This window comes from Homo sapiens, chromosome 18 (genome assembly GCF_000001405.40).
Source record: "Homo sapiens chromosome 18, GRCh38.p14 Primary Assembly".
Lineage (NCBI taxonomy): Eukaryota > Metazoa > Chordata > Mammalia > Primates > Hominidae > Homo > Homo sapiens.
The window spans coordinates 9,724,799-9,749,871 of NC_000018.10; the positions used below are offsets into that span (position 1 = coordinate 9,724,799).

The 25,073-nt window shown below is 43.7% G+C and overlaps 1 protein-coding gene across 1 annotated transcript in view, besides 2 other annotated features; it reads left to right on the top strand.

Annotated features, from left to right (window-relative positions):
* The window catches only part of RAB31 (RAB31, member RAS oncogene family), a 154,251-nt gene that overhangs the window by 16,498 nt on the left and 112,680 nt on the right, over nucleotides 1–25,073 (top strand). The gene's annotated exons all lie outside the window — the stretch shown is intronic.
* Nucleotides 9,804–10,303: an enhancer, noted in NCBI's record as "H3K4me1 hESC enhancer chr18:9734599-9735098 (GRCh37/hg19 assembly coordinates)". NCBI's record gives its function as "activates a minimal SCP1, AML or CMV promoter by ChIP-STARR-seq in primed H9 embryonic stem cells {active_cell/tissue: H9 hESC(primed)}" and the evidence as "EXISTENCE:reporter gene assay evidence [ECO:0000049][PMID:30033119]".
* Nucleotides 18,734–19,028: an enhancer, noted in NCBI's record as "tiled region #12333; HepG2 Activating non-DNase unmatched - State 4:PromP, and K562 Activating DNase matched - State 5:Enh". NCBI's record gives its function as "activates a minimal TATA promoter and a strong SV40 promoter by Sharpr-MPRA in HepG2 and K562 cells {active_cell/tissue: HepG2 | K562}" and the evidence as "EXISTENCE:reporter gene assay evidence [ECO:0000049][PMID:27701403]".

Consider the following 25,073-nt stretch of genomic DNA (forward strand, 5'->3'; position numbering starts at 1 on the left):
AGTATAACTCATGTGCCAGGGACTGTGCTCAGTGTTTGCTACCTATTGCCGCATAACAAACTACCCTGACCTCAGTGGCTCCAAATAACAACTTGTTAATATTTCTCACAGTTCTGTAGGTTGACTGGGCTCAGATGAGCAGTGGTTAGTTATCTGAAGGCTTTGTTGCTTACCTGTCTGGTGAGCGGACCGGGCAGGCTGGGTCGGTTGGGTGCTAATCAAGCAACTCTCTCCAAGTGGCCCCTCTACCTGGGTAGCTTGGGCTTCCTCATAGCATGGAGTCTCAGGGTGGCCAGTCTTGTCATATGGTGGCTGGTTGAGTTCACAGCAAGTGTTCCAGAGCCTTGGGAGGTGGGTGCTAAAAGACTTCTTCTGACCTAGCCTCACAGATCCCAGAATGCCATTTCTACCACATTTTATTGATCAAGCATTTTACCAAGGTAAATGCTTTGCTTCAGCCCAGAAGCAAAGAGAGGAGAATTAGACTCCACCTCTTGATGGGAGGAATAGCAAGAATTTGTGATCATCCTTAATCTACCCTACTGAATAAGTGCTTTACATAAATTATGACATTAATAGGCTTATAAGGGCAAGTTCTATTCTCATCTTTATCTTGCTAATGAAGAGACTGCAGCACAGGGATTTAAGTAACATGCTCAAGGACTGACTGCTAATAAAGGATGCTTCGAGCAATAGAACTAGCTTTGTATGATTCTAAATCCCAATGCACATAATAACTTAACTGTGCCACAAACCAGTTATTTTTGTTATTGTTATATGTTACAAATTATTTGTTCAAAACTGGCATGTAGTAGGGAGAGCACCACTGGTCTGATAGAATGGACTTTTTAAAAATAAGGGGTCTTGTATTAAAAACATAATTTAATAATTTTATTGAATAATTTGAACCAGGTTTGAAGCATTTCCGTGGAAGGAAAACATGCAAATTCCCACAATGTTAGGGTCCTGGTCAGGTTCTTTGGAGTTACAGGTAACTGTTTGTCATTTCTGGGAATGTATGAGATGTGCAGAGGCAAAGTCCAGTATCAGAGATGGTCTCACCTTGATGGCAGTAAAAGGCTCAAATGCGTTTATAATAATACCAACAGCAGCAGCGACAACAATATATTTGTTTAGCACTTTACAGTTTACAGTGAACTGTCCTCATGTTATTTCATTTAGTCCTCAAATAACTCTATGTGGTTGGCTTTTTGTCTTCGATCTGCAGGTGTGAAGGACAGAGGCTTAGCCATGTGAAATGTTTTTGCTCAATGTCATAAAGGCCATGTGGGAAGTGGACCCTAAGCCAGGCAGTGTGACTGCTCCAGGGTTCCCAGCTCCACAGTGCAGGAGGCAACCATTTCCAGTTCTTTTCTTCCTTTACTTTCTCATAGGATACTTTTTAAGCACTATAAATTGGGTTCAGGAAATGTCAGTTTGTGAAATGTGATCAATCCAGAAGGCCAACCTGCTGGACTGCAGGGGACTGTTAGAGATCAGAGGTTCCCAGGTCTGCTATTACAGCTGTTGGGTCACTGTGCAAGCACTGCTGTCAGGGTGGCACAGTGGAGGGCAGATGAGCCCTGGCAGCAGGTGGACTTGGGCACGTATTCGCTGTGGCAAATCATGTAATCTCTGGGGCTCACTTTTCTCATTGCAAAATACTGACAGTTTGCGTAGATAATGCCTCTAACGGGGAACCTTGCCTGGCATGTAATATTCAAGATATTACCTTAGCAGCCTCTTCTCCCAGACTGTTTTACATCCTCGTAACTTTAAGGCTTAAGGGAGTTTAAGTAGATTGTTTCCACAAGAGGAGCTCTGGCTGAGCTGTTCTCTTTATATACTTTGCTACGGGGTCTGGCAAGTAAAAGGTGCTGAGTAATAGCTTTCAATTCACTAAATGAATACTGTAGAACATCATTATTTTCATTCATTCGACTAAATTTATAACATACTCTAAATTTTTTATTGAAGTATAACATACAAAGTGCACTAATCTTCAGTTTAATGCACGATGGACTTTCACAAATGGAACAGACCTATGTAAACACCTGGGTCAAGAAATAATGTTACCAGCTGTCCAGAAGCCCACCCTGTTCCCCCTTCCAAGCATTACCTTAAAAAAAAAGTAACTAGTTGTCTTGACTTCTAACACTGTAACATTTATTTTTGCTTGTTTTTAAGTTGTAGCAGATGCTTACTGTAGGATCTTTGTTTTTTTTAGGTACTTATACTAAGATGGCATTAATAGACGTTCTTAGGACCAAAGGGCTGGGGCAGAATGTGCTGCCATTGGGCCACAAGTGTGCAGAGACATGGATGCTGGCCTGGGGAGATGGGCTGGGTAGGCTGTGGCCCTTTGGCTTCTTCCAGCTGTAGCCATGTGGGCCCGTATGCCCTGGTGCTATGTAGATAATAGCACTTTCTCTGTTTGCTGGGATGTGAATAAGGTTGGAAAGCAGTGTCTTCAGAGGCCTTGTAAAATTGATTAAAATGAGAAGCATATTACTTTTATTTTGCTTTGTTTTGTTTAGAGACAGGGTCTCTCTCTGTCGTCTAGGCTAGAGTGCAGTGGTGTGATCATAGCTTACTGCAGCCTCAAACTCGCAGGCTCACACAATCCTCCCACCTCAGTGTCCTGAGTAGCTGGGACCACAGGTCCTCCAGCACACTTGGCTAATTTTTAAATTTTTTGTAGAGACAGTGTTCTCGTTATGTTGTCGAGGCTGGTCTCGAACTCCTGGCCTCAAGGGATCCTTTTGCCTTGGCCTCCCAAAGTGCTGGGATTATAGGCATGAACCACTGTGTCCGGCCTGAGAAGCATGTTAATTGTGTATAATTAAGCCATTTTAAAGTGCTCAAGGGTGTTTGAAAACAGTTCTCTCAAATATTAAAAATGTCTTGTTTCCATTTTTAATGAACAAAACCTTTCTATGAAGAAAATCTTTGCTAAGATCAGTCTTTCCTCTTACCCCAGCTTTACTGAGGTATAGTTGACAAGTAAAAATTGAATGTCCACTTTTAAGGTATGCAATATGATGTTTTGATTGTATACATTATGAAATGATTACCACAGTTAAGCTAATTAACACATTCATTATCTCACATAGTTATCTTTTTTGTGGTAAGAATACTTTGAGATCTACTCTCTTAGCAAATAGATCAGTCTTTTTAAAGTTGTTTTTAATGACTAAACTTAATGTATACTTGTAAAGAATAAAAAAGGTACACATAGGTATAAAATGAAAAGTAAAAAAGACCACCTTTCTCTACTAATGTCTTCTATTTCTTGTGTATTTTTTAAGCTATGGTCTATGCATATGCAAACATTTTCTTGCCTTTTTCCTCTAAAGGTAAACCTTGAGTATTATTCCTTGGCCCCATGTATAGAGCAATCCCACTTATTTTAAAAGTCACATAGTGTTCTCTCACAACAGTATATCATGATTTACTTAACTGGTGCCCTAATGATAAATGTTGAGGTAGTTTTCATTTTTTGGCTTTACAAACAATTCTGCAATAAAAATCTTTGTACCTGAATCTTAATGTACGTGAATGAAATGTATTTGTGGGATTTTCTAGAAATAGAACGTTGGGTCAGAGAATAGGAGATTGATATCTAAAAAGATATTGCAAAATTAACCTCAAATATTGCGCCAATTTACACTCCCTTTAAATGTTTGATGACATGATTTTCTACACCCTTACAACACAAAATATAACCTAATTTTTTGTTTGTTTGTTTGTTTGTTTTGAGACAGGGGCTCATTCCATCACCTAGGCAGGAGTGCAGTGGTACAATCTTGGCTCACTACAACCTCTGCCTCCCAGGTTCTAGCGATTCTCATGCCTCAGCCTACCGAGTAGCTGGGATTACAGGTGTTTGCCACCACACCTGGCTAATTTTTGTATTTTTAGTAGAGATGGGGTTTCACCATGTTGGCCAGGCTGGTCTCGAACTCCTGACCTCACGTGATGCACCCCTCCTTGGCTTCGCTAAGTGCTGGGATTACAGGCGTGAGCCACCCCACCCAACCATGAATATAATAAATTTTTTTATTTTTGCTAATATTATAGATTAAAAATGATAATCTATTTTAATTTGCATTTCTTTATAATGACAATGGATATTTTAAAAATTTGTTTATTGACTGACTATATTTTTCTGTTACCTGCCCCTTCACATCGTTTACCCATTTTCAACTGGGTTGTTTTTGTTACTGATTTGTGAGTAATCTTTGTATATTAAGAAGCTAAACTCTTTGTTATTTGTATTGCATATGTTTTTCCTCAGTTTGTTGTTTCATGTTTCACTGTTTACTGTCTTTTAAAAAATCATACCGATATTTAGAAATCTTCATTTAGTTAACTATATCAATCTTTTGTGATTTTGATGTTTTATGTCTTGCTTAGAAAATCCTTCTCTACTCTAATATTATAAAAGTATTTAGCGCGATGGCTCATGTCTGTAATCCCAGCACTTTGGAAGGCTGAGGCGGGCGGATCACGAGGGGAGGAGATCGAGACCATCCTGTCTAACATGGTGAAACCCCATCTGTACTAAAAATATAAAAAATTAGCCGGGCGTGGTGGTGGGCACCTGTAGTCCCAGCTACTCAGGAGACTGAGGCAGGAGAATGGCGTAAACCAGGGAGGGGGAGCTTGCAGTGAGCCAAGATCACGCCAGTGCACTCCAGCCTGGGGGACAGAGTGAGACTCCGTCTCAAAAAAAAAAAAAAGTGTTTAGCTATATTTTGTCCTAGTACTTTCATATTTTCTTTTTTACATTTTAAATTATTTGAGCACGTGGATTTTGGGATAAAGAACCAGCTAGGGATTTAGTCTCCCCTCCCCCACCCCCCTCTAAATGCCTAGCTGGTTGCTTTAATACCATGTATTGATTAATTCATAATCATTATCTACTGGTCTGACATGTTATCTTTGTCATAAATGAGATTTCCATGTGTATGTGTGTCTGTTTTTGGACTCTATGTTCTATTAAAATTTTAATTAATTTCTGAATTTGAGAAAAATCAGAGCCAGTAGTGTCCGAATTATGAATTTACCCCTGGTTGTTTTTTTACTCTTCTCTTGATGTACTTCTCACACACTGCATTCTGTTGCATAAAAAGAATAACATGGTGTTGAATGACAGATCTAAAGATGGACATTTGTCTATGTGGTAAATACGTGGTAGATTCTGGGTGATTTTTCATATGCTTCATATAAAAAATGATCGTACATAAAATAACTTTTTTGGAAGGAACATAATCTGAGCCATTCAGATACAACGAAATCCAGCTCCTCTCTATAGCATCGCTGTGGGTGTAGCTAAAATATGAGATTTTAAGTTTAAAAACAACTTCTGCATGTTATTTGGAAATATTTTTTACTAATTTCTTACGCAGCCCAAAACTTAATGGGCAAATTTAAAATACGCATTTAGTGTCTTAGTATTTTACAAAGTCCTTCGAGCCTCACCTTATCTTTTTTTTTTTTTTTTGACACAGAGTCTTGCTCTGTTGCCCGGGCTGGAGTGCAGTGGCATGATCTTGGCTCACTGCAGCCTCTGCCTCTCGGGCTCAGACAATTCTCCCGTCTCAGCCTCCCAAATAGCTGGAATTACAGGCATGTGCCACCATGCCCAGCTAATTTTTGTATTTTTTTTAGTAGAGACAGGGTCTCACCGTGTTAGCCAGGCTGGTCTTGTACCCCGACCTCATGTGTTCCCCCATGTTGGCCTCCCAAAGTGCTGGGATTATAGGCATGAGCCACCACACCCGGTCCTCACTGTATTTTTGAAAACATGGTTACAGAATTAGTTGCATGTGGAGAAGCTGAAATGCTATATGTAAATCCTCTTTCCTGATTACCAGCATTCTCCTAATGCAAAGTGTGTGAAGTGACAGCAGAGAAGATATCAAAGGGTTTGGTGCTTGGGACATTCTGTATTGTCAATGTGAGATGCCCAGTGAGATGGAAGTTCTGCACAGGGTGGCTGGGCGGCAGGCATTCATTTCCGTAAGCCTCTCTCTTTCCTCCTATATGGTATGTGATGAGTTTGGGGGAAAGCATCTGCATTTAAGCTCTGTTCTGGTGGAGAGAGGGAAGAGGTCTCAGTGTTTATCGTCTCCCATGAGTTGAGTGTGCAGGATCTGTAGCCAACAACTCTTGAGTTTTGAGAGTTCCATGTGAGCCTCACTACATGCTAAGTCAGAACCACAGGGTGAGTGAATGCTCTTTCTCTGCTCCATCTGGCTTCTGTCTTCTTAACAGCATATCTGCTGTTTCACATAGCTGCATATCAAGCCAGTTTTTTGTTTTTGAGATGGGGGTTCTCACTGTGTTGATCAGGCTGGTCTCGAACTCCTGGACTCAAGTGATCGTCCCGCCTTAGCTTCCCGAGTAGTTGGGACTACAGATATGTGCCCAGCTACAAGCTGGCTCTTTTATTTTTGGGGCAGTTTAACCACTTGGCATTGTCAGGTCTTCCCTAAGCTTCCCTTGGTCTTTTCTTCCATTTTGCTGTTTTTTTGGACATTAAATAATTTATTACCTCTACCAGGTGCTTGGACAGAATAAAGTAAAAGAGAGAATCGTTATGTTAGAAAATTAACTTGTGCAAGGTGACATAAAATTCTCTCTGCTGTTGATTCATCCATGCTGGCTTTGCCAGTGGTCATGAGGGTAACCAGTGATTCAACTGTATGGGAGGGAATCTGCCCTTTCTGAGTGGATCTCACAAGGTGATTCCTGTGTGATGATGTAAAGATGAGAACCTTTCTGGGAATTTGCTTTTTTTTTTTTTTTTTTTGAGGCAGAGTCTAGCTCTATCACCCTGGCTGGAGTGCAGTGGTGTGATCTTGGCTCACTGCAGCCTCTGCCTTCCGGGTTCACGATTCTCCTGCCTCAGCCTCCTGAGTAGCTGGGATTACAGGCGTGTGGCACCACGCCCAGCTGATTTTTGTATTTTTAGTACAGACAGGGTTTTGCCATGTTGGCCAGGCTGGTCTCGAACTCCTGGCCTCAAGTGATCTGCCTGCCTCAGCTCCCAAAGTGCCTGGATTACAGGCATGAGCCACCATGCCTGGCCTGAATTTGCTTTTTATCTATGATAATAAGCTCCTCACCCAAACAGATAGGAATTGAACTCAGACAAATTTTAATGTGCACACATTTGCAAAGGTAGGCTTGCATTTTTCATTCACTTTCTCTTTTATATATTTACATGCGCAGAGGACAAAATGCAGAAGACACACAGGATGAGCAGCGAGAAACGATGCCCAGCCTCCGTCTCCCTCAGCTCTGCCACTCCTCTCCCCAGGGGCACCAGTCACTAGTAATGCCCTCAGAGCTCTTGGGTTCATCCAGCATGGGCTCTGCTCTGCCTATGCAGGTACCAGACCATCTTCGTCCAGGGGGACGTGGAGTCACACGCATGCAGGCAACAAGGAGAGGGCCGGTCACCGGATGAGGCTGGGCCCCTGGGGCAGGGGTTTCATCAGAGCCCTAGGTCTGCTCTGTCTCCAGAGAAACCTCCCCAGAGGCCCAAGTCCTGCACCCACTGCAGCAGGGCAGGGCTGTAGCCAGGTGAGCAGAGGGCAGAATCCTCCCCTGGAATACATTAGACCCTGTGGTGACATTAGTTCATGCTCAGTGCTCTGTTCACAATCTCTGGTCCTCACAACGGCCCTGTTAGCGGGTTAGGTGTGGGCATGCAGTGAGGTGGGTCCTGGAACTTGTACCCAGGCTTGTCTGACACCAGAGCCCATGCTCTCCACCACAGCCGTGTCTCCAACCTCTCCCTAGTGCTTGGTGCTACTGCAAGGACTTCTTTTTCCTTCTCCCCTTAACTGTCATGATAAAGTGACAGCATCTCAGACAAATTTAAAAATTCCCTGAAGGAATCAGCTGGTTGGCGCTGAACTTTGCAGGGTGCCGTGAACACCCTGGGCTGGAGTCTGAATGCATTGCTTTCCTCATGCAACAGTATTGACTGAGCCACTGTAAACACACAAGAGTTTTGCTGGGTGCTGAGTGTATTGTGAGTTTTCATCGTCTGTGCTAATGCTCATCTTACTGAGCATAATAACCTGGAGCATGACCTATATTGAATTCACTTGGTGGTTGCTGCAGGATGCTTAAAGGAATGAAACTTGAGGGTAGGTTAAGGGAAGCAATGGTGATGAGCTGAGCTTTCACCAGGTGGCACCTGGCTCTGGATGCTGATGTGTTTGGATCAGTGGTAGAAAACAAGCAAATAGAATGGCGAGTTAGACAGTTTCCACTGCGCACAGCACTTGGGTGTTTTCCATGCTATAAATCTTTATTTTTTCCACTTTGGTTTGAGTGGGATCACTTCCATTGGAGCTAATCCAGAAATTGCTAATTCAGTGGGAATTGTGAGTCTATAAGTTAGGAATAAATTGAGCTTAACATGCAATATATTGGAAATGATCCTAGATCCTGGATCCTTCCTCTTCCCAAACAGTGAGCTGTGAGGGAGTCACTCCTCCCACCAGGTTAGAACCATCCGACGTGTGCAGATGTGGCATATATGGTGTATGTTCTGAGGGACAAAATGACGACCCCTGACTGCAGTGTGGCTCCAGCATTGCTTGCTTCCAGGCTGACCAGGGACAGGTGTCCTGGAAGATGGCTCTTCCTGTTCCCAGAGCTGTCCCACCCTTCAGTGTCCACAGGCATTCTGGAAGCCCAGGTTCTCCTTCATTCTGCTTAATAGCTCGGCCTAGAATTCTCATTCGTATTCTGTGCCTGGAGACCCAATCCAAACTCCAAGCCTCATTCCATTTTCCTGGGCTCTGGTTCCCTCCAGGATTCGGTCCACAGGTGGGTGTGGACAAGACTGCTGGGACCACGGCCTTGGTTCCCTGCTCTGTTGATGAGGTTCTTGGGCTCAGACACCACCTGCAGCCCTTCTGCAGCCAGCCTCTCCGTTGCCTGCAAACCCTTGCCCATCCTTCCCTCAAGACTCCCTCAGAGACATTGTACCGTTGTTTTCTAGTGATCCTTGAAATTTGATGCAGTAGCTCTTAGAAAGAAGAGACTAGAAAAAAAATAGGAGGCATGGTTACTGGGGAGGGGGGGCTTGGTTGGTAAAAATAAGTGAATTTTGCTGGCATGGGTCAAATTCCTCCCAACTGAAAAGAGGGGAGTATCTATTAATACAAATGTAAAGAGGGGAGAAAATGTGTTCTGTTACATGGGAGAGGCATGCCCTGTAGTCAGGAGCCTGTGTCCAGTTATGTGAGATGGAAGCTGGGGGGCAGGGTGGCGGGGAGGAGGGAGGGAGGGAGGGAGGGAGGAAGGCTAAACTAAGGTCATGCACTCAGGTCCTCAGGTACATAAGAGCTAGTATCTATCGCACTCTATATACTGACACTGGACGAACTCCTTCCCTGCACTGTCACAGCCCTGTGAGGTGTTGCTCTTCCTGTCACTATTGTGCAATTGAGATGGAAGCCTGGAGAAGTTAAATACTTGCTCAGGGCCCCGCAGCCAGTAAGTGGCAGGACCTGTGCTTACCTCCTGGCCTATGGACTCCAGCGATTGTGTTGTGAAGCCACCACACCCGCTGCCTTTCCTGAACACGGACAGGAAGCGTTACATACCTAACGAGGAGAACATGGGCAAAACCTTGCGAGTTTAAGTTGTGAGTGAGCTAAGGGTGAGCCGAGAGGATGACTGTAGCCAAGCCTGGCAGCCTGGGGAGCCTATCTGCAGGTGTGGAGGGGTGAATTGTTAGTGAAGGTGAGGAACAGCAGAAAGGAGAGGCAGGCAGGGTGCAGAAAGGATCCCGGATACGATGAACAAAGCGGGGCCCGAGGAGCCACCCCTGCGGGGGAGCAGTGGGGTGGGGAAGGACTCGAGTCTCTGGCGCCTCAGCACTGTGTGCCAGGTGAGAGACAAGTTGTGTGTGGTTTTATTCTTTCCATATCCATTTCTTTTTGTTTGGTTTTGTTTTTAAAAAGTATTTAGCATTTAATGAACCTCCTTCCCTGCGGCTGCAAGCCACCAGCACACAGGCCCCCCAGCATTCTTAATCTTCTCAGCTCATCAGAATTGGGCCTTCATGATGACAGACTGCTTTGGGAGCTTTCCCTTTCCCAGAACTTTATAGTAGCCCAGTTGCACCACAGCAGTGATGGGAGGAGCCTCTTGGTGGTGGCGGTGGTTTTTTGTTGTCGTCGTTGTTGTTGTTTTGTTTTTTTTTGAGATGGAGTCTCGCTCTGTCGCCCAGGCTGGAGTGCAGTGGTGCAATCTCGGCTCACTGCAACCTCTGCCTCCCGGGTTCAAGTGATTCTCCTGTCTCAGCCTCTCAAGTAGCTGGGATTATAGGCGCCTGCCACCATGCCTGCCTAAGTTTTGTATTTTTAGTAGAGACGTGGTTTCACCATGTTAGCCAGGCTGGTCTCGAACTCCTGACCTCAAGTGATCCGCCTGCCCTGGCCTCCCAAAGTGTAGGGATTATAGGTGTGAGCCACCATGCCCGGCCCTCAGTCTTGTTTTTAGCAGCATTTGCCTGTGTCTGCTCACGGATCATAGTCCACAGTTTGTCAAAGTTGACAGTTGGGCTGAAGCTCTGTTTCCTCTTTAAGTGGTAATGCCTCACACCAGCTTTCCCACATAACCTGGGTGACATTTGTCAAAGTTGATCCTGTGGTGGTGCACACCACCTGCATTACCACAGCCTCCACGGTGCTTCCGCACTCGGTGATGTGGCCATGGCCGTGGCTCGTGTGGCCCTGAAGTTTCCGGCTCTTCCTCAGTCTGGATGGCATGTCAGACAAAAGAGGAAGATTTCTACAAAGTCTCTTAAGGTATTGAGCACCTATTTCTCCTTTTAAAAACGGGCAAGCTGAGCACAGTTGTGCATGCCCATAATCCCAGCTACTTGGGAGGCTGAGGTGGGAGGATCGCTTGAGCCCAGGAGTTTGAGATCAGCTTGGGCAAAGGGGAATTTTTCTTTCATTATCATTTTGATGTAGAAAATCAGTAACATCTTCTTTGCCAATATGAAAACATGTTTTTCTTTAAGCAGAGTCTTGCTGTCAGCCAGATTGGAGTGCCATGGTGAGATAATAGCTTACCGCAGTCTTGAACTCCTGAGTACAAGGGATCCTCCTGCCTCATCCTCCTGAGTAGGTGGGACTACAGACATGCACCACCAAGCCTGGCTAATTTTTAAAATTTTTGCAGCGATGGGGTCTCACTAGGTTGCCCCGGCTGGTCTGGAACTCCTGGGCTCACACAACCCTCCTGCCTGAGCCTCCTGAGTAGCCGGGATCACAGGTGCACACCACCATGCCTGGCTAATTTTTCATTAAAAATTTTTTTTAGAGGGTCTTGCTAGGTTGCCCAGACTGGTATTGAACTACTTGCCTCAAGTGATCCTCTCCCCTCAGCTTCTCAAAGTGATGGGATTACAGATGTGAACCACCATGCCTAGCCTGAAAACATTTCCTTTTGATTCTAGCATTTAGATCCTAAACCTAAAACCGTTGCCCTAGAATTGCGCTGCCCACTTTTGCTGCTGATCTTATTCCCTGTCCAGACCTTTGAGGACCAGAGTTGGTTGGGCCTCCCTCCCAGATGATGCTCAGGGTACTGGATGCTGGAGTGCAGGGACTTTCTCTGGTGACTGTGGGGAAGCCCCTGCCCTCTCCCCTCCCTTTTTTTTTCATTTGTTGATTGGCAAAGCTGAGATTTCCCAGTGTATGTGAATTTGGTTTGGTTCATTTGTAAACCCCTTGACAACTCTGTACATCAGAATAATGGCATTCCTCTTGGGAGTATTTTGTAATTATTTGCTCAGTGTGTAATATCCCATTAAATATCCAAAGTCAATTCAGCAAATGTTTATTAATAATAAGATTTGCCGAAAGCAAGAGAAGTCTTAAGTGGGTTATGCCTACAGTTTCTAGAAAGCCTTCAGATTGTGGTGGTAAAAAAACTTGGCTTTGTAAATTTTGTGTAATTCGTATTAGAAGATGCTAATTTATTTTAAAAGCACAGTACTCTTTTGTGGTAAATTTCCAAGTTTGCCCCTGTCATTTGAAAAGCTTTTGGTGTGAGTGTTTTCAGATGTTATTGGGTGGTAGGGGCAAGGACTCGTTATTTTTGTTTTCAAATATGTATTATCTCTTTCAAATAGCTATTAAAATTTATTATGTATTTGCACTTATAAATGTTTTATGTACCAATTTAAAAAATGGATCAATAGATTTCTGTGTCTAGCAGAGAATCGATTAATGAGTTTTGAATAGTGTGCCAAGGTGACTCAGCTTTATGACTTTCCATGGATGACAGATTCTGCCCCTGCGACAAGGTCAAGCCCATAAAAATTCCAATCAGATACCACAAAAAGCACAGTTTCATAGGTCAGTTTAATTCTATAGCAGTCTTTTTTGTCAGCATAGCTGGCGATTCCATCTGTTTTAATTTAAGATTCACCCCAGCCATGCCTCTGTAGCAGGTGACACGTGCACACACACACACACCCCCACACCCACACACTGTTTCCTTATGTAACATACATGATGTAAATATGTAATATAAATGTATAGTTATGTAGAATATAAATATATTTACATTGTAGTAGAGGCTGAGTCGGTGGTATAATAGAGCATCTGCAATTCAATATTTAGAGTATAAAGCTGTTTTTCCTTTGTGAAACCATTTGTTTTCCATACACTGCTTGGTGTTGGGCGGGGAAATAATGCAGTTACTTATCTGCTACACTAACGAGCAGATGACTGTCCTCCTCTCCTGCGGCTCTTCTGCAGAAATGAGTCGCCACAGTGAATTGCTTGTGTTTATTATTCTGGTCATGGGTTAGCACCAGGTGTCACAGTGAATCAATCTTGGATTGGTAAAAGGTTGTCACGACGGCAGAAAATTGCAGGCTAGAGCAAATTGTCCTATGCCCATTACAGAATCTCAAGTAATGATGGTTGGTTATGCATGGAGGGGCTGAAATAGTCCATAGCATAAGGAAACCAAGCAGGGGTCTCTAAATAGGTCAGAGGGTTCTAACAGATACCCCACCCCCTTCTGCTTTTAAAAGCTCTTGTTACTGAATGGTCATAAAGAGAGTTTTGTCTGCCCCCCACGCTAACCAACAAGACAGGCTTACCAACAACGTGGTCCTGGCAGGCAGCCAGCCGGCCGGCATTTAAATGATGCTTGCTGCTGTGGCAACCCCACGGGCCTTTAATGGGTGAGCGTGGATGCAGCAGCTGAAGGCCAAGTGCATCATGGAAGGCAGCGGTGCAAGCACAGCCCTGGTTCCAATGACTTAACGCCGCCTGGGCCACTGCAAGACCGGTGTGGCAGACAGACCCCCTGGCGAGGAGCTAACTGTGGGGTGGGTGGTGGGATATTGTGAAATGTGTATTTGGTCTTCATCCCTGTTTCCTAAAACCCTTAGAATCTCTGGAGCAAAGAGTATTTTTTGCCTGCTCATGATGGACTGATAGCTGGCAGCCCCCAGGTAGCTTTAGGATGGGGCTGGTCACAGGAAAGACCAAGGCAAGATGGGAGGGTTGGGACTTTTAGCCCCACCACCAATCTCCAGGGAAGGGACCTCCAGGGAAGGGAAGGGGCGGAAGGTTGAGTTGATCACCAGTGGCCATTGGTTTAATCAGGCATGCCTACGTCATGAAGTTTCCATAAAAACCCAAAAGGGTGAGTTTGGAGAGCTTCTGGATAGCTGAACATGTGGAGGCTCCTGGAGGGCGGCGCAGGGGCACACTGGGGAGGGCATGGAAGTCCCACACCCCTTCCCACATGCCTTGCCCTACAAGTCTCTTCATCTGCATCCTGTGTAACATCCTTTATAATAAACTGGTGAATGTCAGTAAGTGTTTCCCGGGGTTCTGTGAGCCACTCTAGCAAATTAATCAAACCTGAGGAAGTGGTCATGGGAACCCTGATTTGCAGCCCATCAATCAGAAGCACAGGACACCTTCCTCCTTGTGCTAGGCCTCTGGAGTAGGAGGAGGCAGCCTTGTAGGACTCAGCCTCCCGCTGTGGGATCTGACATTATCTCCAGGTAGGTAGCTTCACAATTGAGTTGAACTAGAGAACACTCAGAGAACTAGAGAACGCTGGTGTCCGCTGAAGAATCAGTGGCTTGCTTGGTGTGTGGGGAAAACCTCCTGTACATTTGGTCACAGAAGCATTTTGTGTTGTGAGAGTAGACTAGGAGAAAAAACATTTTGTTTTTCTACTCAGGTGGCATGTTCCAAATAAAAACACTGGAAAGAATATGAGTTTAAAGAAATGGATTGTAATGCATGATATAGTTGCATACTATATAAATACATCTCGTAAATTTGGATTTCATTGCCTTAGAATTTCTAAGAATTTGGCCAGGCACGGTGGCTTACGCCCGTAATCCCAGCACTTTGGGAGGCCAAGGCAGGCGGATCATGAGGTCAGGAGATCGAGACCATCCTGACTAACACGGTGAAACTCCGTCTCTACTAAAAATAAAAAATTAGCTGGGTGTGGTGGCGAGCACCTGTAGTCCCAGCTACTCAGGAGGCTGAGGCAGGAGAATGGCGTGAACCTGGGAGGCAGAGCTTGCAGTGGGCCGAGATTGTGCCACTGCACTCCAGTCTTGGCAACAGAGGGAGACTCTGTCTCAAAAAAAAGAATTTGTAAGAATTCAGACTCAGGGTGCAGGATGAATTTACTGCTTAGGAAGATGTAATGTGCTAAAAAAAAAAAAAAAGTAAACAAACTATCTGGATGATTCTTAGCCTATGGAGAGTAAAGCACAGGTTTTTAAGTTTCTTAGATACACTGTATTGATGAGGATACAGACTAAGCTGCTGAAACAGGAGATCCCAGATTATAGTGACTTCAGCTTTTTCAGTCCTCCTGGTGGCTGGTTCAGGGCTTGTTTGGTGGCTTGTGGGGTCATCACATTGTATACTCTCCTGTCCTGTGTGCCAGCACCTGGTCACATGGCCACCCCTGACTGCAAGGAAGATGGGAAAATGTCATCGTTAGCTGGGTAACCAGGGGCCCAGCTAAAACTCAGGGTTCTTTTTCTAATAGTTGAAAGGGAGAGTGAGTATCACAGAGCCCCAGCAGTTTCTCTCCTAAGCATCTTTTATTTTCCAATGAGGACACTGCCAGGCCAGTTGTGTCTTCCTTGGCTAGAGCTTTGATCTGCAAACTTGGAGCTGATTCTGACCTCAGACCCTGGGGTGACGAGAGGAGCTCTATGATTCTAGTTAGACCAGCCTAATGGATGAATCCTGACTCCCTCACTTGCTGTTTGTGTGGCCTTCAGTTCGGCTGTTGAGCCTCTCTGACATTCCGATTCACTGGTAATGATAACTGTCTCACAAAGTCATTGTAACAAGTATTTTGAGAACATCCAGGATAATGCCAGTCATATGATGAGTTTTCAGTAAAAGTTCCTTTGTTCCTTCCTCTATAGGATGAATCATAGAAATCATCTACTTACCTAACGCTTCCAGTGAAACAAGTTAATTTGCTCAGAGCCTGATTTAATTTGCATTATTGCATCAGGATGACACCTCTTTACAGTAAAGTTATTTATACTTCTCCAAATGCAAAATTTAAAATTATTTTGGCTGGACGTGGTGGCTCTCGCCTGTAATCCCAGCACTTTGGGAGGCCGAGGAAGGTGGATCACTTGAGGTCAGGAGTTCGAGACCAGCCTGGCAACATGGTGAAACCCTGTCTCTACTAAAAATGCAAAAATTAGCTGGGCGTGGTGGCGCACACCTGTAATCCCAGCTACTCAGGAGGCTGAGGCAGGAGAATTGCTTGAATCTGGGAGGTGGAGGTTGCAGTGAGCCAAGATTGCACCACTGCACTCCAGCCTGGGCAACAGAGTAAGACTCTGTCTCAAAAAAAAAAATTCTTTTGGTGGGTTAATGTTACCCAGAAGCAGATCATACTGTGCTCACACATCTTCTGTCCACATCATACCAATGCTAGAATAAAGGGGGTAAACAGAAAAACAGGTTTTCTTGGGAAATGACATATGGAAGTTGCTGCACAGGGGTCTCTAATGGCAGAGGTGCCTCCAGGGGGCTTTGATATGTCAGCAGTAGCAGCGCACACTGCAATGCCTTCCTTGCTTGTAGTAAGTGGCCTCTGGGTTCTTAAAACAAGACCCTATTGTGTAAGATGCTGGACTTGGGAAAACCCCTGGCAGGGGCTGCATTGAGGCTGGTGACTCCTGTTGGGGCATTGTGTGCTGCATAGTGTAATAGGCAGCCACTCTAGGCCCAGCATGGTGGCTCACGCCTGTAATCCCAGCACTTTGGAAGGCCGAGGTGGGCGGATCACTTGAGGTCAGGAGTTCGAGACCAGCCCGGCCAACATGGTGAAACTCCGTCTCCACTAAAAGCACAAAAATTAGCCAGGTGTGGTGGCGGGCACCTATAATCCCAGCTACTAGGGAGGCTGAGGCAGGAGAATTGCTTGAACCTGGTGGGGCAGAGGTTGCAGTGAGCCGAGATAACGCTACTGCACTCCAGCCTGGGCAACAGAGTAAAACTCCGTCTCAAAAAAAAAAAAAAAAAAAAAAAAAAAGGCAGCTGCTCTGGGCACCCCTGGATTGTGGCAAACTTCAGAATTGGGTGTCAGTGCTAAGTGACCAAGACAATACCACCGTGGATGGATCACAAGGGCTGGAGTTGCAGAGTCAGAGCTGATGGAGCTTTCCTGCCAGCCACGCACCATCTGTCCAGTGGGAAGTCCTTTCTGTGCTGGGAGGAAGGGGCCAGCAGGACCACTTGTCCTGCGCCAGTGCCAGCCTCTCTCAGCCTGTGTGCAGCACGTACATGTCCATGGCAGCCCTCGGCTGGATCTCAGGGCTGTGGGCAGGGGTGGAGGCCACTGCTAGGCTGTCCTGCTGCTCCAGCAGCCCCCTCAGGGGCCGTTGACTTTTCACAGGAACCCAGGCCTGCCATTGAGGGTGGAGATTTCATTTGGAAATGCTCGCCTCACTTCCCATGCGGTTCCTCTGTCTGCTTTATGAGCGGGACATACCCCTCATCCACTGCCTCATCCAGGTTTCCTGGTGTGGCAGGGTCCCCAGGGACCCAGAGGGAGCCAGGAAATGTGAGTCAGTGGCTTCCCAAAGTGGCTGCCTGGCCTGTGGTGTCATAGGGCTGCTGCTGTCTGCCCTTTGTCCTGTCTCACGCTGTCCCCAGCCCTCCCAGCACTGGCCGTTGAGAAGACAGAGTTGAGTTGACTGTCACTGTTGTCTTGGGGAAGACCACCCGGCAAAGCACTGGCAGGGCTCGAAGTGGGAAGGCAAGGTCAGACTGGATTGAGAGTTGCAACTGTGATTGAAGGCGGTCTTTCAAAGCAGGCTCTTGGTGAGGGTTGGGTAAGAATCGCGATATTGCAGCGCAGAGTTGGTGGAAACAGCAAGCAAGGGTTTCGAGGACTTCAAAGACTCCTAGGGGCAAACTTCTACTGCTTCCTACTGAAGAGTGGATGGGCCTTCAGGGAAGTTCCTGGCAGGAACAGTCCTCCCATTTGTCTGGGCGGATGGTCCGGAAGAGCAAAGACATGCTAATGAGACAGAGGAATAGCAAGTCCCCTTCAAGCCGACAGGAAGGGGCCTCAGTTCTCAGCGCCAGCCTGAGTGTGGGGGCTGCTTGGCTCGGCCTGTTTCCACGCTAGGGACGTTCTACGTGTTTTCTTCTTCATGGCTTTTTGTTTTCTAATAAAAGATGTTTCTATTCATAAATGTTGTAGATGAGGATAATGTCTATTTGTTTTATTTTGGAGGGGCAGGGTTGGGGAAGGCTGAGGAAGGGGGCTGTCTGATTGCTGGCTCATGCCCAATTACAGTTTATTTCCTCCCTGAGTGCCCTCTTTGATGTGGGAAGGAAAGGGAATGAAATCCTTCTCTTTTACTCATGAGCAGTGCAGACGCCTTCTCCGGACAGTTTGGCTTGACCTGTGCAGAGTGCTTTTTCCCCAGCGAAATGGAACAGGAAAGCTCACGGCAGCAAGTGGCAGAGGGGTGGAGCCACAACTTGGCTCTTTTTCCTTCTTCTTTTCCTTCTTCTTCTTTTTAAAAAAAATCCAGTCCACTAAAGCACGAATGTTTTTCAAAGTCGCAAATGAAATACAGTAGGATTTTAAAAAACCAAAGCTGTCTTTCAACATGTTGATGTTCTCGGACTGTAGCAAACATGGTTTGGACTTGTCCATTTAGAAAGCAGTGTAAACAGGCTCTGAAATGCCATTGTACCAAGGGAAATGAGGACATGCGGCAAAGCTTTAAGAATTCAGCCCCTAGACCTGCTTTTGACTGAAATAGTTTTGCTTGAAATAATTTATTTTCCTTGAATTTTTTGATTTTTATTTCTTCAGTTCTGTCTGGTCACCTTCCCTGTATAGGCATGACCAGCACCTGAGGAAGAATGATTAACACATGTACAAATAACTTAAATGTACTCGAAAGCTATAAAACAATATGTGTGTTACTGAAAATAAACAGATAGTGTAATACCTGGATTATAAACATCTTGATCCCTTGAAAATAAAGTATTGCCTTAATTCAAATAATAATACCTCAATGTTTATATAGTGCCTATCTGAAAAGTATTTAAAGTTACTGTTATTTTCTAGATTTCCTGGCGGGTTGATTCACTGGAGGGCTAGTTGGTTAGGGAGGTAGCACCTGAGCTGCCACCCTCTCACAGCTCCCAGATGGACATGGAGTTGGGCGCTGGGTGGGTTTGGGAAAGCTCCTGGGTCCGGCCCTCCCGGATATGCTTCCTGCCCCAGGGCTTCAGGGGATCTGCGTTCTCAGGCCACATGCAAAACCAGTTGTTAATCATCCCTGACACACTCTGAGTCACCACCACCCTCTGGGAAGCCACAGGGAGACCTTGGCTGAAGCCACCGCAGCACCATGTTTCGCCATCTTGCAGCCAAGTCTGTTTATTTGTCTGCCTTTGGCACCTCCAGGACCTCTGTCTTTTGATTGTTGGTCTCAGTTTGCAGACAGATCTAACTGTGGACTCCCGGGTGCGGTCTGTGCCTGTTGGGAAGATGGGCAGCTGACTCACTTCACTGTCATCCCCTCACCCATCTTCTGTGGTCCCAGGCTCCACTTACCTCCTCTATATGACCCTGTAGGCGCAGTGGGTGCTTTAATCATGGGGCACAGTGGGTGCATTAATCTTTCCTCATTTTAGTTTGCATTTTTATTTAGCGGTGGAGTTGCCTCCATGAATTTCTGTTCTCATCCACACCTTTAGTTTTTCTCTTTTTATTTTCCATGTCATAGTAGGAGGAAATTTGGAATTAGCAGAAAACATTACTGAGTATTTCCAGTGGAAAACTATGCATTGTGTAGAGCATACCCTTCCAAGGTATCTGATTGTAGCCTTTGATCCATTTCATACCTCCGTAAGTTGTAGGTAATTGGTAGCAATGCAAAATAACTATTGCCTGTAGACATGCAAAAATGTCTGTTAGCATGGCTAAAATGACCCCCTCCAAGCCGTAGGAAAAGCAAAGTTCGTATTTGTAAATTCATTTCAACATTCCTTTACTCCATATATACTTATGCTTCTCTGACTTCTCCTTTTAACTGGTTGTAACATCTTATTAATTCCCTAATTAATGGTGAAGTCAATAAAATCTTTGACATGTTCATTTTGTATCTGTATGAGAGTTGATTTTACCTTTGATTATTATTTTTAACGTAATATTTTATGGTCCCTATTAAAAATAACAAAGGCACCGTGCTTCCTGGTTAACCAGTGACAAGAATGGGCCCTAACAAGAGGAACTTGGATGCAAAAAGCAGAATGAATTAATCCTGAGGGCTTAAGACATTGGAAGTTTTTCTCTTAATATTGTAAAAATGTGTAGACTCATAAACAACCAATAGTCAAAGAAGAAATTACAATGGAAATTGGAAATTACCTTGAGATGAATGAAGACAAAAGCACAACATTCCAAAACTTCAGAGCAGTGCTCAGAGGGAAACTTATAGCCATAAACACCTACATTAAAAAAAGAGAAAGACTTCAAATCAATAACCCAATTTTACAACATAGGGAACTAGAAGAAGAAGAGCAAAATAAACTCAAAGTTACAAATTGTAGGAAATACAGAGTGAAGAGAAATGAAATAGAGAATAGAAAAATAATAGGGAAAATCAGTGAAACCAAAAGTTGGTTCTTTGAAGATCAACAAAATCAACATACCTTAAGCTACATTACTAAGAAAAAAAGAGAAAAGAAGTAAATCACTAAAATTAAAAACAAAATGGGACATTACTACTGACCTTACAGAAATGAAAAAGATTATAAGAGAATACTATGATCACTTGTAAGCCAACAGGTTAGATAACCTAGAAGAATTAGACAAATTCCTAGACACACAAAACTACCAAACTGTCTCAAGAAGAAACAGAAAGTCTGAATAGACTTAAAACAAGTAAGGAGAATCAGTAATCAAAAACCTCCCAAAAGAAAGGCTCAGGACCAGATCGCTCTACTGGTAAATTCTACCAAACATTTAAAGAAGCATAACATCAGTTGCTCTTAATCTCTTCCAAATATAGAAGAGGAGGGAATACATCTAATTTATTTTATGAGGCCAGCATTATACTGATGAAGCCTGACAAAGATATTACAAGAACACTATAGACCAATATCCCTTACAATATAGAAGCAAAAATCCTGAATGAAATACTGGCAAACTGAACCCAGAAGTATATTAAAAGGATTATACACCATGACCAGATGGGGTTTATCCCAGGAGTGCAAGGGTGGTTTGACATACTAAAACGGATCGATGTAATACACCATATTAATAGAAAGAGGGAAAAACACCACCTGATCCTTTCAATTGATGCTGAAAAAGTATTGACACATTCCAACACTCTTTCATGATGAAACCACTCAGGAAACTAGAGATAGAGGGGAACATGTTAAAGGACATTTGTGAAAAACCCACAGCTAGCATCCTGTTCAATGGCAAAAGACTTGAAAGCGTTTCCTCAAAGATCAGGAACAAGACAAGGATGCCCACTTTCACCGTGGCTGTTCAACATAGGAAGTCTTACCCAGAGCAATTACGCATGTAAAAGAAGTAAACGGCATCTGAATAGAGAAGAAAGAAGTAAAACTATCTCTGTTGCAGGTGATATGGTCCTAGATATAGAAAATTTCAAAGAATTCACAAAAAACAACTACTGGAACTAATACATTCAGTGAAGTCACAGGATACAAGTTAAACATGCAAAAATAAGTTGTGTGTTTTTACACCAGCAGTGAACAATTTGAAATTACCAAAATGATTCCATTTATAATAGCATTTAGAAGAATAACATTTAACCAAATACATTTAACCAAAGAGGTGAAAAACATATACAATGAAAACTAAAGAACATTTCACATTGCTGAAAGAAATCAAAGAAGACATAAGTAAATTGAAATAAATCCCTATTCATGGATTGGAAGACTTCTTATGGGTAAGATGGCAATACTACCCAAAGCGATCAACAGATTCAATGCAATATCTATCAAAATTCCAAATGTGTTTCTTGCAGAAATGGAAATGCTGACTCTCAAATACATACAGAATTGCAGGAGGCCCCAAATAGCCAAAACAATCTTGATAAAGAACAAAGTTGAAGGACTCAACACTTCCTGATTTCAAAACTTACTACAAAATTATGGTAATCAAAATAGTGTGGTACTGACATAAAGATAAGCCATACAGACCAAGGAAATAGAATTGAGATTTCAGAAATAAATTCATACATTTATGGTGACTGATTTTCAATAAGAGTACGAAGATCAGTCAATAGGGAAAAAATAGTCTGTTCAACCAATGGTGTTGGGACAACCAGATATCCACATGTTTAAGTTTAATCCCTACTTACACATTTGCATACCCTTTATACAAAAATCAATTCAAAATGCTCAATGACCTAAATATAGGAGCTAAGTCTGTAAAACTTCTAATGGAAAACATAGAGTGAAATCTCCATGACTTTGTTTTTGGCAATGGATTCTTAGACATGAAAGCAAAAGCATAAGTAACAAAAGAAAATGCATAAATTGGACCTCATCAAAATTAAAAACGTGCATCAAAGGACAGTATTAAGAAAGTGAAAAGACAGCCTACAGAATGAGAGAAAATATTTACAAATCAAATATCTGTTAAGGGCCTGGTATCCAGATATAAAGTACTTTTACAATTCAACACAAAAAGACAAAGTACTCAGTTAAGCAATGAGCAAAGGATTTGAATAGACCTTCTCCAGAGAAGACATACAGATGGCCAAGAAGCACATAAAAAGCTGCTCAACATCATTAGTCATTAGGTAAATGCAGATTAAAACCACAGTAAAATATCACTTTATAACCACTAGGATGGCTATTTAAAAAAATGTTGGCGAGGATGTGCAGAGATTGGAACACTGGTGGGGTTGTAAAATGGTCCAGTCTCTGTGGAAAACAGTGCTTTGGTGATTCCTCAAAAAGTTAAACATAGAGTTACCATATGACCCAGCAATTCTACTCCTAGGTATATGCCACAAAGAACTGAAAAGAGGTACTCAAATACTTGTACATTCATAATAGCCAAAAGGTGGAAGCAACCCAAATGTCTATGATGAATGGATGAGCAAATTGTGATATAAACATACAATGAAAAATTATTCAGCTGTAAAAATGAATAAACTACCGACACATGGTACAATGTGGATGAACCTTGAAAACATTATACTAAATGAGAGAAACCAGACACAAAAGGTCACATATTGTGTGATTCCTTTCATAGGGCTTGTGCAGAGTAAGTCAGTACATGGAGATTAAGTAGATATGTGATTGCCAGGGGTGGAGAAGGGGCAATGGGGAATAACTGCTTAATGAATATGGAGTGATTTGGGGGTGAAGAAAGTGTTTTGGAGTTAGATAAGGGTGGCGGTTGCCACCATTGTGGATGTACTAAATGCCACTGAGTTGTTCACTTTAAAATGGTGAATTTTATGCTATGTGAATTTCAGCACATACAAAAATTGATATGGTTTATATGTGAGTAATTAGTTCCTAGTAGGAAGAGGGTTTAGATCAACAGTATTAAATATTCTCCCCCTGAAAACACATGGCACATATAACACCTACGGTCAACGGCATCCACACAGGAAACACAGTCCCAGGAACTCCCAGGATTATGCACAATTTCGATGAGTTTCCTGAATACCACCTCATCATTAACTCTGATTAATTACAAGTTACTGGTGGCGTATCTCGCAGAAGCAAGGTGAGGTGATTAGGTGATGGTCATTCTAACTTTTGATAATTTTGAGGGACAGCAGTGTAGGGAGAAAATACTAGTGTAAAACATTATATTTGTCTGGGTGCAGTGGCTCAAGCCTGTAATCTCAGCACCTTGGGAGGCCGAAGCAGGAGGATCGCTTGAGCACAGGAGTTGGAGACCAGCCTGGACAACACAGTGAGACCCTATCTCTACCCCCTACCCCCAAATAATAATAATTAGCCAGGCATGGTGGCATGGACCGGTAGTCCCAGCTACTCAGGAGGCTGAGGTGGGAGGATCGCTTGAGCCCAGAAGGTTGAGGCTACAGTAAGCCATGATTGCACCACTGCACTCCAGCCTAGGTGGCAGAGCAAGACCCTGTCTCAAAAACAAAAAAGCTACATTTATATAGATTAGCCTAAAGAACGTAAAATTTGTATCCTAATTCCTCTACTTAGATCACATCTGTTGATATTTAAAAATATAAGGGGACCAGATGCGGTGGCTCATGCCTGTAATCCCAGCACTTTGGGAAGTCGAGGCGGGCGGATCACGAGCTCAGGAGTTCGAGACCAGCCTGGCCAATATGGTAAAACCCCATCTTTAATAAAAATACAAAAATTAGCTGGGTGTGGTGGCATGTGCCTGTAATCCCAGCTACTCGGGAGGCTGAGGCAAGAGAATCACTTGAACCCGGGAGGTGGAGGTTGCAGTGAGCCGAGATTGCACCACTGCACTCCAGCCTGGGCGACAGAGCGAGACTCTGTCTCAAAAAAAAATAATAATAAAAATAAATATAAGAAATGTATAGAATTACAAGATTCAAATAGTATAGAAAGGTACAGACTGGAAAGTGAAGGCTTCTCTACTTAGTACAGTTGCTGTTAATGCATTCTTGTGATTTCTGTTTGTTTTCTTCAAAGAACCATTTTATGGTTATGTGCATATGCTGACATAATTAAAAAAATAGAGGCATCATTACAGATTTGCATATGGCTTTTTTCACTTGATATACCTTGAAGCCTTTTCCACACGTATCAGCACCTAAGGATGTACTTTATTCATTTAAGTGGCTGCATCATCACGATAATAATCAGCACTTATTGAACATTTGCTGTGTGCCAGCACTGTTCTAACTGCTGTGGACACATTGTCGTCATTGTTAATCTTCACCACAGCCCTCTAAGGGAGGTGCTACCATTGCCCCATTTTACGGAACAGAGGGAACAGAGGGAACAGAGGGAGCGGAGGGAACGGAAGTGCAGGGACACCCAGGAAGAGATTTAAGTTCTGTGTGTCTGATTCCAGAGCCCAGGCTCTCACCAACACAAAATTCTACTCCTCTACACAGTTAGTTTGTGGGAGAGCTGGGATTTATTGTAATTTATAGTTTACATAGCTTCTATGTTTTGCTGTTTTCTGGTCCAGTTCCCTAAGGTGTGTGTGCCCTACGTTTCACATTTCGGTCTCCCAGGGGCTCTACCTTACTGGGTTTTCTTGATTTTGTCTTCCTTAAATTAGAAAAGAAAAGGAAGAACCAAGAAGACTGAAACAGTTATGATTGAGGTTTGCAGAATTGTTCCCATGAATGGCTACTAGCTCTTGATATATTAGTCCAGAGCACAGAAAATCTATACTTTTAATAGCTTGGACTGCACACAACAGTAAGTCTTTATAGACGGTTCTGTCCTGTAGGGGAGAAAAGTCCTCGTTGTTCCTCTGGGATGCAACATGAGAGAGCAGCACACTGA